The sequence below is a fragment of the Homo sapiens genome, chromosome 5 (assembly GCF_000001405.40).
Source record: "Homo sapiens chromosome 5, GRCh38.p14 Primary Assembly".
NCBI classification, from domain to species: Eukaryota; Metazoa; Chordata; class Mammalia; order Primates; family Hominidae; genus Homo; species Homo sapiens.
In genome coordinates this window covers 34,759,499-34,777,473 of record NC_000005.10, presented here as the reverse complement: position 1 = coordinate 34,777,473, position 17,975 = coordinate 34,759,499, and the positions used below count along the sequence as shown (strand labels likewise).

The window sequence follows — 17,975 nt, the reverse complement described above, 5'->3', positions numbered from 1 at the left end:
TTTGTTTTTTTGGTTCCCACATGTTAGTGAGAACATGTGGCATCTGTCTTTCTGTTCCTGTCTTATTTCACTTAACATAATAACCCACAGTTCCATCTATGTTGCTGCAAATGACAGGGTTTCATTCTTTTTATGGCCAAATAGTATTCCATTGTGTATATGGTACCACATTTTCTTTATCTATTTATTGGTCCATTGATTGACACTTGGGTTGACTGCATATCTTTGCTATTGTGAATTGTAAATAATGCAAGTGCAGATATCCTTTTGATATACTGAATTCCTTCTTGTTGTTGTTGTTGTCTCTTGAGATAGTGTATCATTCTGTTGCCCAGGCTGGAGTGCAATGGTGCAATCTTGGCTCATGGCAACTTCTGCCTCCTGGGTTCAAGCGATTCTCCTGCCTCAGCCTCCTGCTGGTATTACGGGTGCATGCCACTATGCCTGGCTAATTTTTGTATTTTTTTAGTAGAGATGGGGTTTCACCATGTTGGCCAGGCTGGTCTCGAACTTCTGACCTCAAGTGATCCTCCCACCTCGGCTTCCCAAAGTGCTGGGATTACAGGCATGAGCCACTGCACCCAGCTCTTTTCCTTGTTTTTAATTTTTATGGGAAGATAGTAGGTATATATATTTATGGGGCACATGAGTTTTGGTGGGTTTTTTTAATAAAGGGTCTCACTCTGTCACCCAGGCTGGAGTGCAGTGGTGCAATCTTGGCTCACCACAGCCTCAATCTCCCTGGCTCAAGCGATTCTCCCATCTCAGTCTCCCGAATAGTTGCAACTACAGATACACACTACCATGCCCATCTAATTTTTCTATTTCTTTGTAGAGACAGGTTTTTGCCATGTTGCCCAGGCTGGCCTTGAACTCCTGGGCTCCAGTGAACCATCTGCCTCAGCCTTCCAAAGTGCTGGGATTACAGGTGTGAGTCACTGTGCCCAGCCAAGATATTTTAATATAGGTATACAATGTGAATAATCACATCAGGGTAAATGGGGGTATCCTCCACTTCAAGCATTTATCCTTTCTTTGTGTTACCAACAACTCAATTATACTCTTTCAGCTATTTTAAAATGTATAATAATTATTGTTGACTATACTCATTCTGTGGTGCTATCAAATACGAGATCTTATTTATTCTATTAATATCTAACTATATTTTTATACCCATTAACCTCCCCACTTTCCCCCAACCCACTACCCTTCCCATCCTGTGGTAACCATCATTCTGCTCTTATCTCCATGAGTTTAATTTCTAGCTCCCACAAATAAGTGAGAATAGGCAGTTTGTTTTTCTGTGCCTGGCTTAGTTCAGTTAACATAATGACCTCCAGTTCCAACCACGTTGTTGCAAATGACAGGATCTCATTCTTTTTTTATGGCTGAACAGTACTCCATTGTGTATATGTCCTACATTTTCTTTATCCATTCATCTGATGATGGACACTTAGGTTGCTTCCAAATAATGGCTACTGAGAATAATGCTACAATAAACATGAGAGTGCAGATATCTTTTCAATATAGCAATTTCCATTCTTTTGGGTATATACCTAGCAGTGGGATTGCTGTATCATATGGTAATTCTATTTTTAGTTTTTTGAGGAACCTCCAAACCGTTCTCCATAATGGTTACACTAATTTACATTCTCCCCAACAGTGTATGAGGGTTCCCTTTTCCCCATATCCTTGCCAACATTTGTTATTGCCTGTCTTTTGGATGTCAGCCATTTTAACTGGGGTGCAACAATAGCTCATAGTAGTTAGCTCATTGTAGTTTTGATCTGGATTTCTCTAATGATCAATGATGTTCAGCATGTTTTCGTACACCTGTTTGCCATTTGTATGTCTTTTGGGAAGTGTCGGTTCAGATCTTTTTGCCCATTCATTCATTCATTTTAAATAGAGATGAGGGCTCCCATGTTGCCCAGGCTGGTCTTGAACTCGTAGGCTAAAGCAATCCTCTCACCTTGACCTCCCAAAGTGCTGGGATTACAGGCATGAGCCACTGCAACTGTACCTTTTGCCCATTTTTAAATCAGATTATTGGATTTTTTTCCCTATAGAATTGTTTGAGCTCCTTATATACTGGTTGTTAATCCCTTGTCAGATGGGTAGCTTGCAAATATTTTCTCCCATTCTGTGGGTTATCTCTTTGCTGATCATTTCTTTTGCTGTGCAGAAGCTTTTTATCTTGATATGATCCCCATTTGTCCATTTTTGTTTTGGTTGTTTGTGCTTGTCAGGTATTACTCAAGAAATCTTTGCCCAACCCAACGCCCTACAGAGTTTCCTCGATGTTTTCTTATAGTAGTTTCATAGTTTGAGGTCTTAGATTTAAATCTTTAATCCATTTTGGTTTTTGTATATGGCAAGAGATAGGGGTCTAGTTTCATTCTTCTATATATGGAGATCCAGTTTTCCCACCACCATTTACTGAAGAGTGTGTCCTTTTCCCAATGTATGTTCTTGGCACCTTTGTCAAAAATGAGTTTACTGTAGATGTATGGATTTGTTTCTGGGTTCTCTGTTCCGCTCTATTGGTCTGTGTATCTGTTTTCATGCCAGTACCATGCTGTTTTAGTTACTATAGCTCTGTAGTATAATTTGAAGTCAGGTAATGGGATTTTTCCAGTTTTGCTCTTTTTGCTCAGGATAGCTTTGCTGTTCTGGGTCTTTTGTGGGTTCATATGAACTTTAGGTTTTTTTTTTTTCTATTTCTGTGAAAAATGTCATTGGTATTTTGATAGGGATTGCATTGAATCTGTAGACTGCTTGGATAGTATGGACATTCTTCCATGTTCATGGTTGGAAGAATCAATATTGTTAAAGAATGTTTCCATTTTTGTGTGTGTCCTCTTCAATTTCTTTAATCAATGTTTTATAGTTTTCATTGTAGAGATCTTTTATTTCTTTGGTTAACTTTATTTCTAGGTATTTTATTTTATTTGTGGCTAGTGTAAATAGAATTACTTGATTCACTTTTTTTCAGATGGTTTGCTGTTGGCATATAGAAATGCTACTGATTTTTTATGTTGATTTTGTATCCTGCAACTTTGCTGAACTTGCTTATCAGTTTTTTTGTTTGTTTGTTTATTTTTGTGCAGAGTCTCACTCTGTCACCAAGGCTAGAGGGCAATGGTGCAATCTCGGCTCACTGCAACCTCTGCCTCTCGGGTTCAAGAGATTCTCCTTCCTCAGCCTCCCAAGTAGCTGGGATGACAGGCACAGTGCCTGCTATGGGAGGTGCCACAATGTCTGGCTATTTTTTTTTTTTTTAAGTAGACACAGGATTTCACCATGTTGGCCAGGCTGGTCTCAAACTCCTGACCTCAAATGATCTGCCCACCTCAGCCTCCCAAACTGCTGGGATTACAGATGTGGGCCACTGCGCCCAGGCTTGTTTATCAGTTCTAATAGTTTTGTGGTGGAGTCTTTGGTTTTTTTCCAATATAAAATCATATCATCTGCAAACAAGAATAACTTGGCTTTTTCCTTTCCAATTTGGATGCTGTTTCTTTCTCTTGTCTGATTGCTTTAGCTAGGACTTCACAATTTCTGTTCCTTTGGATAAACACCCAGTTGTGGAAGTGCTGGATGTACAGTAGTTCTAATTTTTTGAGGAAGCTCCATTTTATTTTTCACAGTAGTTTAACCAATTTACATTCCCACCAACAGTGTATGAGTTTTCTTTTCTCTGCATCCTTCCAGAATCTGTTATTTTTCCTTTGTAATAATAGTCATTCTAACTGGGGTAGGATAACATCTCATTGTGGTTTTGATTTGCATTTCCCTGATGCTTAGTGATGTTGAGTATTTTTTTTCATATAGCTGTGGCCATTTGTATGTCTTTTTTTGAGAAATATCTATTCATGTCCTTAGCCCACTTTTTAATGGGATTATTTATTTTTTGATGGTCAAGTTATTTGAGTTCCTTGTGTATTCCGGATATTAGTTCCTTGATGAATAGTTTGCAAATATTTTTCTCTCATTCGACAGGTTGTCTCTTCACTTTGTTCTTTCCTTTGCTGTGCCAAAACTTTTTAGTTTAATATAATCCGATTTGTCTATTTTTGTTATAGCTGTCTACGCTTTTGAGGTCTTAGCAATGAAATCTTTGCCTAGACCAATGTTTTGAAGTGTTTCCCCTATGTTTTATTCTGGTAGTTTTACAGTTTCAGGTCTTACATTTAAGTCTTGAATCCATTGTGAGTTGATATTTGTATATAGGGAGAGAGGAGGGTCCAATTTCATTCTTCTACATATGGATATCCAATTTTCCCACACTATTTATTGAAGAGGGTCACACCATCGTTTTTTGCCAAGGCACCCATTGTTTCAAAGTTTGTTTGAAAACAAACTTAGCCATAAAAACAATTTTATGGATATGTTCCACAAATAAAGGAATCTGCTGTTTTACATTTCATTACAATAGGAAATGTTTAGATTTGCTTATAAAACTCAGCTGGGGCCCTTCAGCAGCAATGTAGCAAAATGGCACAAATAAGCAGCCTGAAGATTTACACAAAATGACTTTGATCCCTTTGCTGCTTATTGATATTTGGAATGTCCCTACTCTTGTCACTTGGAAAGATTCCAAGGTTTCAGTGCTAATAAGAGTTTTGTAGTGCACTCTCTTTCTCTCGCTCTCATTTTCTTTTTCCTGAAGAGAAAGTCAACTCACTGATGTCCCTAGCAGCCTCAAATAGCAGCCGGGTGGCAGCCTGAATGAATGATGGAGGGACCAACGGAGGCACAATAGGGAGCATGCCAGGAGGCTGGAGGGTGATTCAGGAGGCCCAGGTGACAAGGCTGGTCAGCTGCCTTGTTGCTACAGTGCTTAACTTCAGTTCCCTCATTTCTAAACCAATCTGAGGCAGTTGAATAACAACAACATCAATAATAATAGCAGGTACTCTATGGAAACATTACACTCTAGGAACATCTTAAGTTTTAACTCATTTCATCCTCACAACAAGCCTGTGAGGGGTTGGAGTAAACTTTATTACTCCCATTTAACAGACGAGGAAAACTGAGGCAGAGAAGTTTGCTGTTAGGTTAGTGCAAAGGTAACTGTGGTTTCTGCCATTAAAAGTATGGCAAAAACCACAATCACTTTTGCACTAACTTAATAACTTGCCCAAAGTCCCAGAAATTACAAGTAATTTCTGGATTCTAACCCAGGCATTCTGCAATTAGAGCTGGTTCTTTATCATTTTACTGAGAAACGGCACCATTTGTTAAATCACTATGCACACAACTGGGGGCAGTGGCTCATGCCTGTAATCCCAGCACTTTGGGAGGCTGAGGCAAGTGGATCACCTGAGCTCAGGAGTTCAAGACAAGCCTGGGCAACATGGTGAAACCCCATCTCTACAAAAAGTACAAAAATAAATTAGCCAGGTGAGGTGCCACGTACCTATAGTCCCACCTACTTGAGAGGGTGAGGAGGGAGGATCACTTAAGCCTAGGAGGTTGAGAGGTTGAGGCTGCAGTGAGCTATGATCGTGCCACTGCACTCCAACGTGGGCAACAGAGCAAGACCCTGTCCCAAAAAAACAAAAAACAAAAAACAGTGACACCCTATGTAATATAACCTACTGGTTGTGCTAGTCTTTAAAAATCAAAGTTTAAACTAAAATCTGGAAGTATTTGGCAAAAAAGCAAACAGTGTTCTCAGTGGGACAGATTAGGGTTGCCAGGGCTCTCAAATAGATGGGGATATAACCCAAGCACAGAAGCAAACAGAGCCTGCAAGAGAGGTTTCATTTCCTACCAAACCACTCAACAAGTTGTGCAAACCTTCCCAAAATAAATACCATGGGACAAGGCTGGGATAATTCTCAAGGCTCTTAAGCCAAAGGAGGCTTGAACTGTTGCTATTCAAAAACTCTTAAGTTATAACCCAGAAAGCTCCTTCTATCTTTCAGAATAATAACAAACACAATTATTCTGGTTTCTGATTACCGGCTGAAATAGATATTGGGAGGAAATACAAACTCACTGGCTACTTTTACAAGACTTCAATTTCTCAGGCATATTCATTCACTGAAAATTTCTCTCAAACCAGTCTTTCTTGCCTTCTTCACCACCAGGGCGTCTGTTACCATGATCAGTTCCTTCCATTGCCTCTGCAACCAATATTCACTTCCCCAAATGAAGCAAGCCACCAACGCTCACACAAAGAAATGACCATACACGACCCTACCAGCATTAGCCACACCCCAGAATACCAGAGTGTTAGGACGTTGCAGAAGAATAACTGGTCCAACATCTTCATTTCACAGATGGAAGCACTGATGCTCAGAGAGGTTAGGAAATGTGTCAAAGATCACTGCCCTGCCCCAAGGGTATTTTCTCCCTAATACACCCACGACTCCCTTCTTTCCTTTTAAAAAATCTTCATTTCCAAGAAAGGAGTGACTGTGATCAGGAAGAGACTCAAATACTTCATGGTACATAACAACTTTCCCACAATCCCTTGAGAGCCTCAGCATCTCAGTTCTGCAACAGGAGCCTTGTATCCTGACCACCTCAAACTGCTTATATTTTTATTGTACTCTTTTTATATGATGTCTTTCTGGAGAGAAAAAAACTAATGATATTAAATAATATTTTAAAAAACAGGATTAAAATATTTTTAATATTAGATCATATTTTTAAAATTAGGTAAATTCCTTCCTGTAGCATACAAGGCTCTACACGCAGTGTCCTGGCTCCCTTTTGACCTACCTTCTAGGACTCTCCCTATTCACTGGGCTCTCTGCTGTTTCCTGAGCACATCAAGCGTCCTTCCACCTCAGGGCCTTTGCCTTGCAGTTCCTTCCACCAGGAGAGCCATTCCTGCAGAAAAGTACGCAGCTGAATCCCTCACTCCATTCAGGAATCTGCTGAGAGGGCTTCCTTCTCCAGGTTTATTCGCACAGTCCAATGTCTTCTTTATTTTCTTGAATGTATTTGACATTATAGTAAAGAGGTATCTGTTTATTGTCTGTCTGCCCTATTAGACTGTGTGTACCATGAAGGCAGAGACTTTATTTTCCTAGCACACAGAATTAATTTTTAGGTCATGTAAATCTTTAGTTTTGAATTTGCTTTTTTAGCCTGAACTTTTTGAGTTTTCTCACGTCAAGGCACACCTATATACTGGCATAAACAGATATTTTTCTCAGGTTGTAATTTACATTCTTAGGAGAGAAAGCTGTGTCCTTTATGACATGAGCTCGATTTTGCTTCCCAACAGTGTCGTGCAGTGGTTCTCAAAGTATGGTTTCCGGGCCAGCAGCATCCGCATCACCGGGGAATGGGCTGGACATGCGCAATGTCGGGATCCTGTCCTGACGCCAGGGGAGAAGCCCTGCAAGCTCCCCTACCCGGGAGATGACTCTTATACACATTCGATTTTTAGGACCACTGGCACAGTAGAAAGAAGTATAAACTGGAGCTGAGCGCAGTGGCTCATCCCTGTAATCCTAGCACTTGGGGAGGCCAAGGCAGGTGGATCACTTGAGGTGAGGAGTTTAAGACCAGCCTGGCCAACATGGTGAAACCCACATCTCTACTAAAAAATACAAAAATTAGCTAAGTATTGTGGCACATGCCTGAAATCCCAGCTACTCGTGAGGCTGAGGCATGAGAATTGCTTGAATCCAGGAGGCAGAGGTTACAGTGAGGCTGAGATCACACCACTGCACTCCAGCCTGGGCTACCGAGTGAGTCTGTCTTAAAAAATATATACAAACTAAAAGTCATTAGTCCTTGATTTTGGTCTCAACTCTGCCAACCCCAAGCTATGGGACAATTTAAAGCCACTCAAATTCACTTACTTCAGTGTACTCATCTGATCTACAGAATTACTAAGCCTTTTCTCCTCTAAAAGTCTAGGATTCCATTCCAGCCTACCAAGTGTTCTATGGCACTCATTTGCTGCAATATCTAAATTCTAGGTCACTGAGTTCAAATGAGGCTTAGCGCACACAGAATATTTCAGCAGGCCAATCCTAACAATAGGATTAAAAGGTCTGGATTCCCATTTCAGATTATACTGAGGGTAAGGAAGGCAGCACTATCTTATAACTTTAGTTATAAAAGCCTTGAAAAACTAAATTCTACTCTGTAGAATTAACTCTATTGGCCCAGAGACAAATCTTTTCAGCAGAAAAGTGATGGGCTGCCCGGCTTTCAGTGATTTCAAAAGCAGCTGCAATAGCTGATCACTGCTTCTATTAGGAACTGATGTAGCAGAAAGTTTGAGATGGAAACATTTGTTGCCTTTCCCTGCTCAAAAGGTATAATAAATGACTGGCATGTAAAAAATGAATGCTATAAAAAAAAACAGGATTACTATCCTTTAAGTGCCTGTGATGTGCTAATTAATAGAATCAGCAGTACTACTTCTGAGGAACAGGAGGGAGAGGACACTGAGATGGAAGATCACATACTCAAGGACTGAGGAACCACCCCTCATCCTTTTTTTTTTTTTGAGACTGGGTCTCACTCTGTCATCCAAGCTGGAGTGCAGTGGCACCATCTCGGCTCGCTGCAACCTCCACCTCCCAGGTTCAAGCGATTCATGTGCCTCAGCCTCTCGAGTAGCTGGGATTACAAGCGTGCATCTACACATCCAGCTAATTTTTGTATTTTTAGTACAGACGGCATTTCACCATGTTGGCCAGGCTGGTCTTGAACTTCTGACCTCAAGCGATCTGCCCGTCTCGGCCTCCCAAAGTGCTGGGATTACAGGTGTGAATCACCGCACCCGGGGCCCACGACATTTAACCAGAGCATTTGCTCTTTTTCTTCAGGATTGTTTGGCTTCATAAGGATAGTCTGGAAATGGTACTTGGGCATTATGAAATCTCCATTAGGGCAAATGATTTCTATGTTGTATTCACTGACACACCCCCAGACTCCAGTATGTAGAACAGGCGATTTGTACTAATTTCAGAACTTCTCTGATCCCCACTTCCCTCTTCGTAAATTTACTTCAGGGTGATTGAGAGCATCAGATGGGAAACACCTGATGGAAATTGACGAGATCTCTAAGTTGAATGAATAAACTGTTGGCTGAATGAATGACACGGTTTTTGTTACCTAGGTATTTATCTGATTTCTGTTATCGAATTATCAGGGCGAGAGCCCAATCTTTCCTAATAAGAAAGGAATTGTTTCTTATTAATTATGTTAATACTGAATGCCCCAACACTGGGCTAGGTGCTCATGGAGAACCTCTGCTAGGGCAGTGCAGAAGGGAAATGTAGGGTTGGGACCCCCTCACAGAGTCCCTCACATCCAAGTCACACTGATGCAAGAGGTAGGCTCCCATGGTCTTGTGCAGCTCCGCCCCTGTGGCTTTGCAGTGTACAGCCTCCCACCCAGCTGCTCTCACGGGCTAGTGTTGAGTGTCTACAGCTTTTCCAGGTGAACGGTGCAAACTGTCGGTGAATCTACCATTCTGGGGTCTGGAGGATGGTGGCCCTCTTCTCACAGCTCCATTAGGTGGTGCCCCAGTAGGGACTCTATGAGGGGGTCCCAGCCCTACATTTCCCTTCTGCACTGCCCTAGCAGAGGCTCTCCATGAGAACCTAGCCCGGTGTTGGGACATTCAGTATTAACATAATTAATAAGAAACAATTCCTTTCTTAGTAGGAAAGATTGGGCTCTCGCCTTGATAATTTGATAACAGAAATCAGACAAGTACGTAGGAAACCAAAACCCACCAAATCCTAGGTGATTTCAGAGAGGCAGTGGCAAGACAGCACTCACTCAGGAAATTTTAGAAATGGCTTCAGGAAAGAGATGGTAAATTGGGCCTTGAATGATACGCCAGACTTGGTGGAATGGGGTGGGGGGTGGTGGGGGTGGTGGGGGTGGTGGGGGCGGTGGCGGTGGCAGCGACAGCATCTTGGAAGGCAGGAACTGAGCAGGGAAAGCAGAAGTGCTTCTAAAGAACTGGCACACGCTAATGATCTCATGTACCCCAGCCTCTGAGCAGGCTGGTTGCTGCTCAGCATGAGAATCTCCCGCTCCAGCAGCCCCAGTGTGATAGCGGCTGAGTGCAGGTCGCTCGCTGCTGTGGGTTCTGAGATCCATCTCCACCCTCCCTTACTCTGCTGTCTATCACAGCCAACTACGTTTCCCAGGCTCTCCTGACCTCTGCATTTGGGGCAGGTCCAGCCAGTGGAGGGAACAGAGAGAGGAAAAGCAAAGCCAAAGAGCTTTGACCCTGGGCAACAATTACCCATTTAAGTGTCTAAAATCCTTTGTTCTCAATATACTTAATCCAACTTTGAAAATAGCTCTAAAATGAAAAATGCTGTGATCTTAGCAATTGTATTAGTCTGTTTTTATGCTGCTGATAAAGACATACCCAAAACTGGGAAGAAAAAGAGGTTTAATTGGACTTACAGTTCCACATGGCTGGGGAGGCCTCAGAATCATGGCAGGAGGTGAAAGGCACTTCTTACTTGGTGGTGGCAAGAGAAAAATGACGAAGATGCAAAAGTGGAAACCCCTACTAAAACCATCAGATCTCGTGAGACTTACTCACTACTGCAAGAACAGTATGGGAGAAGCCACACCCATGATTCAAATTATCTCCCACTGGGTACCCCCACAATATGTAGGAATTATGGGAGTACAATTTTAGATGAGATTTGGGTAGGGACACAGAGCCAAATCATATCATTCTGCCCCTGGTCCCTCCAAATCTCATGTGGAGAGATTTCAATCCTCAAATTTCAAAATCAGTCATGCCTTCCCAACAGTTCCCCCAAAGTCTTAACTCATTTCAGCATTAACCCAAAAGTCCACAGTCCAAAGTCGCATCTGAGACAAGGCAAGTCCCTTCCACCTAGGAGCCTGTAAAATCAAAAGCAAGCTCATTACTTCCTAGATACAATGGGGGTACAGGTATTGGGCAATTACACCCATTCCAAATGGGAGAAATTGGCCAAAACAAAGTGGTTACAGGGCCCACACAAGTCTGAAATCCAGCGGGGCAATCAAATTTTAAAGCTCCGAAATGATCTCCTTTGATTCCAGGTCTCACATCCAGGTCACACTGATGCAAGAGGTGGGCTCCCATGGTCTTGTGCAGCTCCGCCCCTGTGGCTTTGCAGTGTACAGGCTCCCTCCCAGCTGCTCTCACGGGCTGGTGTTGAGTGTCTGCAGCTTTTCCAGGTGAATGGTGCAAGCTGTTGGTGAATCTACCATTCTGGGGGCTGGAGGATTGTGGCCCTCTTCTCACAGCTCCACTAGCTGGTACCCCAGTAGGGACTCTGTGAGGGGATCCCAGCCCTACATTTCCTTCTGGATTGCCCTAGCAGAGGTTCTCCATGTGCACCCCACCCCTGCAGCAAACTTCTGCCTGGGCATCCAGGTGTTTCCATACATCTTCTGAAATCCAGGTGTAGTTTCCCAAACCCAGTTCTTGACTTTTGTATACTTGTAAGCTCAACATCATGTGGAAGCTGCCAAGGCTTGGGGCTTCTACCCTCTGAAGCCACAGCCCAAGTTCTATGTTGGCCCCTTTCAGCCACAGCTGGAGCAGCTGGGACACAGGGCACCAAGTCCTTAGGGTGCACACAGCACAGGGACCATGGGCCCAGCCCATGAAACCACTTTTTCCTCCTGGGCCTCCTGGCCTGTGGTGGGAGAGGCTGCCGTGAAGGTCTCTGGCATGGCCTGGAGACATTTTCCCCATGGTCTTGGGAAGGCTCCTTGCTACTTATACAAATTTCTGCAGCTGGCTTGAGTTTCTCCACAGAAAATGAATTTTTCTTTTCTATCTAATAGTCAGGCTGCAAATTTTCCAAACTTTTATGCTTTGCTTCCCTTATAAAACTGAATGCCTTTAACAGTACCCAAGTTACCTCTTAAATGCTTTGCTACTTAGAAATTTATTCTGCCAGATACCCTAAATCATCTTTCTCAAGTTCAAATTTCCACAAATCACTAGGGCAGGGGCAAAATGCCACCAGTCTCTTTGCTAAAACATAACAAGAGTCACCTTTACTCCAGTTCCCAACAAGTTTCTCATCTCCATCTGAGACCACCTCAGCCTGGACCCTATTGTCCATATCGCTATCAGCATTCTGGGCAAAGCCATTCAACAAGTCTCTAGGAAGTTCCAAACCTTCCCACATTTTCCTGTCTTCTTCTGAGTCCTCCAAAGTGTTCCAGCCTCTGCCTGTTACCCAGTTCCAAAGTCACTTCCACATTTTCATGTATCTTTTCAGCAATGCCCCACTCTACTGGTACCAATTTACTATGTTAGTCCATTTTCATGCTGCTGATAAAGACATATCTGAGACTGGGAAGAAAAAGAGGTTTAATTGGACTTACAGTTCCACATGGCTGGGGAGGCCTCAGAATCATGGCAGAAAGTGAAAGGCACTTCTTACATAGCAACGGCAAGAGAAAAATGAGGAAGAAGCAAAAGCAAAAACCCCTACTAAAATCATCAGATCTCGTGAGACTTATTCACTACCGCAAGAACAGTATGGGGGAAACTGCCCCCAGGATTCAACTTATCTCCCACCAGGTCCCTCCCACAACACATGGGAATTATGGGAGTACAATTCAAGATGAGATTTGGGTGGGGACACAAAGCCAAACCATATCACCAATATTTTAACCAATGTAGTTCTAATTTCCAAATCTATTCTCATCAATTTTGCACCACAATCTTGGTTATAAGTCTTCCTTCTAAAGCACAATTTTGCAATAAATTAAGTTCAGCTTTAACATACAACACTGCTTCCTTTAAAAAAAAAACTCGAGAATTGTTACTTTAATATAATTTACTTTAAGCAAAAATGTACCTTTCATTGCAATTCTATTTTGTGTACAAGTCTTATATACATATATTGCATGTATACAGGGATGTATTTGTGTGTGAGAGAGAGAGAGAGAGAGAGAGAGAGAGAGAGAAAATTCACCTGTGCTTCCTGGGCCTTCCTCAGCCTACCTATAATGTATCACGATGTAGCACCTGTTGGAACGCTCTGGGCTAGGAAATGCAGGGTCTCACTGTATCCTGTCCTGCTCAGTGGTTCTGTTTGGACAAACCATTCAGATCACCTAAAGTGCTTTCTGAAACCCCATCCCCAGGAGTACCGCCATACCACTGAAACCAGAATCTCTGCAGGTGGAATTCAGCATTTGTCAAAGCTGCCCAGGTGATTCTAATGGGAGCCAAGCTGAGAACCAATGATCTAGTGAGTGGGGCCCTGAACTCAAGTTGCTCTGATGAGCTCTTAAAGAAGGGAAAGAAAGCATGGCCATGGTGTCATTGTTCCTGTTTTAATTTAGGGTGATTGCCGGGTGCAGTGGCTCACGCCTGTAATCCCAGCACTTTGGGAGGCCAAGGCGGGCAGATCACTTGAGGTCAGGAGCTCGAGACCAGCCTGGGCAACATGGTGAAACACCACCTCTACTAAAAATAAAAAATTAGCCAGGTGTGGTGGTGGGTACCTGTAATCCCAGCTATGTGGGAGGCTGAGGCAGGAGAACAGTTTGAACCCAGGAAGCAGGAGGTTGCAGTGAGCCGAAACCACTCCACTGTACTCTAGCCTGAGCAAGACTCCGTCTCAAAAAACCAAACCAAAACAATCAATTTAGGGTGGCCTCTGTTCATGCTGTTACCTGAACCCCATTTGCCTGTATCCACCCTGGTTACAGTATAATCCACTACTGGTTCCATTCTACAAGGCCGACCTCATATCACACTTCAGGCAGGAAGCATTTCTTAGCATCTCCAGTGTCTCATGAGCTCTTCTGTCCTGAACCCCTTACATGCAGTATTTTACAGGTTAGCATCTGATTATTCTCCAGTATTTTCATTGGCCTTGTCTTTCCGACTAGGTGTTATGCATCTTGAGGCCAGGAGCATATTTTCTCCTTTTGTATTTACTTATGAAAAAGTCTGGAACATTTTGGACCCAGGGAGTACCTCCCAACTAGATTAATGAAACACAACATTTAAGCATATTTGCAAAGTATAAGAAGAGGTTATCTCAACTTCAAAAATGACTCAAAGCAGAGTGGATATAGCAATTACATTCTTCAGTTTATCACTCTGACAAATATCAACAGGTCTTAGAAAAGACATAGGGTGATTTCACAGGGAAGGTAGGAGGCTGCAATTGCACAAATAACATGTAGTGGTTTTAGGTAAATTAATTTGGCAGCTGTACGTGAGAAGAACTGGAGAGAGCTGATCAGGTGGTATAACTCGATTTCCAAGACTGAACTGCTGGTGTAAAATATCTAATACATCCCTATACTGAGAAAACAGGAAGGGAGAATGTGCAACAAACCACCAGCCAGAGAAGCCCTTATTATAGTGATTTCTAAAGTTCAAGGCCTGCCTCTCCCACTTTATAGTCAAGCTCCACAGAGTCATCTAAAAATACTCTCACAAATTCTTGCTTTCATAGCCAAAAAGATCAGGTTTCTGAAAAGTGGGCAACATAAAATGATACAGACACATACACACACACACACACACACACACACACACACACACACACACACACATGCACACACTCCTTATATCTACACACACATGCCCAGGTGGTATTTGTTCAAATACTACAGTGCCGGCAGTGATTTTATTTAGTCTGGTTGTTCGTAAGACAAACACACATAACTTTAATTAAATGCACATCCAAATGTAGGGAACCCATCTTGAAACAATTAGACTCTTCTACGGTAAGAGGTTTGAGGACATTGACCTCCTCCCACTTCCTCACATCCACCATGGAAAGAGAACAGCTGGGCAGAGGCACGCCAGGCCTGACTCCATAAACACAGGCTGCAGCTATAACTCTTGGCTCTGCTCTATTTTGTTCCCTTCCTACCCAAGACACCACCCTTCCTTTATTCTTTTCCTAAATGAATTCCAGTCATTCAATTGCTTTTACTTTTTTTTTAACCCCTCTTTGATCAGTCTTAGAGGAAGAAAATTTCCTGGCATGCATTCTCATCTTTCCCTGAAAGAAAATACTCCAGAAAGAAACTCAAAAGTCTAAGGCATTACCCAACCACCCATCTGGTTATTGACCTTGGGTTATGGAGGCTTCTGGAGAACGTCTGTGGAGATGGCTGCCTTTGTTGCCACATTGTTGGGACTTTCTAGACTGCCTGGCTCTCTAGGTGGTAAAGGTTGAGTACTTCTCTATTTAAATTGCCGTGGAAGCTTGGGGGCCAAGTCAGGTTGTGATGTTCACCAGAAGAATTCTTTCCCCTCTGAATCCAAGTTAATTCACCCCTAAGCAATTTACCCATAAGATATTATCAGCAAAAAAAGAATGTTTTCTCCACAAGAACACACTGAAAAGTTATTTACACAAATCCCAAATGAAGGCCTCCTTTGGGCCTAGAACAATGGGAAAGACCAACACAATAAGATTGTACCATCCCTGTCCTTAGGGAGCTTTACTGTACTCTACGGGATTCAAGTCTTTCAGAAAACAAAGGTTTTCTTAGAATGGAGACATTTCTGTTGTCGTTCCTGTTCATTTGATATAATAGAATAAAGGTGGGTGTGGTAGTGCATGCCTTATAGTCCCAGCTACTCAGGAGGCTGAGGCAGGAGGATCACTTGAGGCCAAGCGTTCAAATCAAGTCTGGGCAATATGGCAAGACCCATCTCTAAATAAATAGAATAAAATAATCGAATATAATGGGTTCTAAATCAAGATTTCTAGTATTTCAAAGAGAAGAAAAGTCAAAAAGGCGGAAGAGAACCAGGGAGGGTGGCATTTTGGATTGGACATAGAACCTGGGTGCACAGGTGGACGTTCTGACCTGTGGGGAGGGCGGGAGCAGACAGCTCCACTTCCAGAAGAAACAGCGGGGAGACAGGATGTAGGTAAGTGGGGCAGAGCCAGAGGAAAGACCTTGAAGGCCAAAATCAAGCCTCTAGACAGACAGGCAACTGTAGATTCCAGCGCAAAATTACCACGAAAGCTCTCTAGAAAATAGAAGGCTGGGAATGGTGGCTCATGCCTGTAATCCCAACACTTTGGGAAGCTGACATGGGAGGATCACTAGGACAAGACAGCAAGACCCCATCATTACAAAAACAAAACAAAACAAAACAAAACCAAAATTAGCTGGGTGCAGTGGTGCATACCTGTAGTCCCAGCTAATTGAGAGGCTGAGGCAGGAGGATCACTTGACCCTGTGAGGTTGAGGCTACAGTGAGCGGTGACTGCACCACTGCATTCCAGCCTGGGTGACAGAGTGAGACCCTGTCTCACACACATGCACACAAAAAGGTAAATTCAGGAAGAGCTGTGTTATGTGGGCCTTAGTTTTATTATCTGCAAAAGGGAGGTGGTGACTCTTACCTAACTGCTATGTATATGTCTACCATGAAGAGAGAATAGAATGAAGTACTGACAGAAGCTACAACTCGGGTGAGCCTTGAAAACATTATGCTAAGTGAAAGGAACAGAGACAAGAGGCCACATATTATATGATTGCATTTATAAAAAATATCCAGAGCAGACAAATCCAGAGACAGAACCCAGATTCATGGTTGCCAGAGGAAGGGGAGGGGAGGTTGGGGAGTTTCTCCCTAATGGGTTCGGGGTTTTCTTTGGGTTGATTAGAAAGTTCTAGAACTAGAAAGTGACAATGGTTGTGCAACATTGTGAATATACTTAATGCCTCTACATTGTATACTTTAAAATGGTTAAAATGGTAAATTTTATGTTATACGCATTTTACCACAATAAATAAAGAGAACACATGTAATAAATATCTTATGATCAAAAGGTTCAAATTTGTTAAGGTGATCACAATTGTAGCTAAGCTGCTCATCTAAATTTTCTGTCTTCTCTTTAGTAAGTACTATCTTGGACAAAATTATCATAAACCTTTCTCTCCCCTTTCTCTGGGATGACATGAAGAGGTTGTCTTGCACAAACATGTGCAAACCTGGACTAGGGAGAACAGGGACAAAGAAGGCCGAGTAGTGATTCAAAAGGGAGACCAAAAGCCCCAACATTTACCACCAAACACCTCAGAACAAAAAATATAGATTCCTGGGCCTCTCCCCAGACCAAGTGATTCAGAGCATCTGGGGTTGATTCTGATCAACATGGCATCAATATTTTTAAAAAGCACTCCATACCTGTAATCCCAGCACTTTTGGAGGCTGAGGCAGGCAGATCACGAGGTCAGGAGATCGAGACCATCCTGGCCAACATGGTGAAACCCCGTCTCTACTAAAAATACAAAAATTAGCTGGGTGTGGTGGTGCATGCCTGTAGTCCCAGCTACTCGGGAGGCTGAGGCACGAGAATAGCTTGAACCCAGGAGGCAGAGGTTGCAGTGAGCCAAGATCACGCCACTGTACTCCAGCCTGGCGGAGGTTGCAGTGAGCCGAGATCACGCTACTGCACTCCGGCCTGGTGACAGAGACTCCATCTCAAACAACAACAACAACAAAGAAGCACTCCAGGTGATTCGAACGCAGAAGCTGCCAAGATTGCAAACCACTAATCTAGGACGAGCAGGGTAGGTGACTGGCTTTATCAAGCGCTCACTGTGGGCTGGGTGCTGTGCCACTCTTTATATAGAGCACCTACAGCTGAAGGTGCCATTCCCAAATCCCCTTAGACCACCAGTCCCCAACCTTTTTGGTACCAGGGACTAGTTTTGTGAAAGACAATTTTTCCACAGACCAGGTACGGGGGATGGTTTTGGGATGATTCAAGCACATTACATTTATTGTGTATTTTATTTCTATTATTATTACATTGTAATATAGAATGAAATAATTATACAACTCACTGTAGTGTAGAATCTGTGGGAGCCCTGAGCTTGTTTTTCTGGAACTAGACAGTCCCAACTGGGGGTGATGGGAGACACTGACAGATCATCAGGCATTAGATTCTCATAAGGAGCTCACAACCTAGATCCCTCGCATGTGCAGTTCACAGTAGGGTTTGTGCTAC

General features: G+C 42.8%; 1 protein-coding gene across 22 annotated transcripts in view, besides 1 other annotated feature; it reads right to left on the bottom strand.

Moving 5' to 3' along the window:
• The window catches only part of RAI14 (retinoic acid induced 14), a 176,285-nt gene that overhangs the window by 55,139 nt on the left and 103,171 nt on the right, over positions 1-17,975 (bottom strand). The gene's annotated exons all lie outside the window — the stretch shown is intronic.
• Positions 6,167-6,266: an enhancer, noted in NCBI's record as "active region_22465". NCBI's record gives its function as "activates an Ori minimal core promoter by ATAC-STARR-seq in GM12878 lymphoblastoid cells {active_cell/tissue: GM12878}" and the evidence as "EXISTENCE:reporter gene assay evidence [ECO:0000049][PMID:35858748]".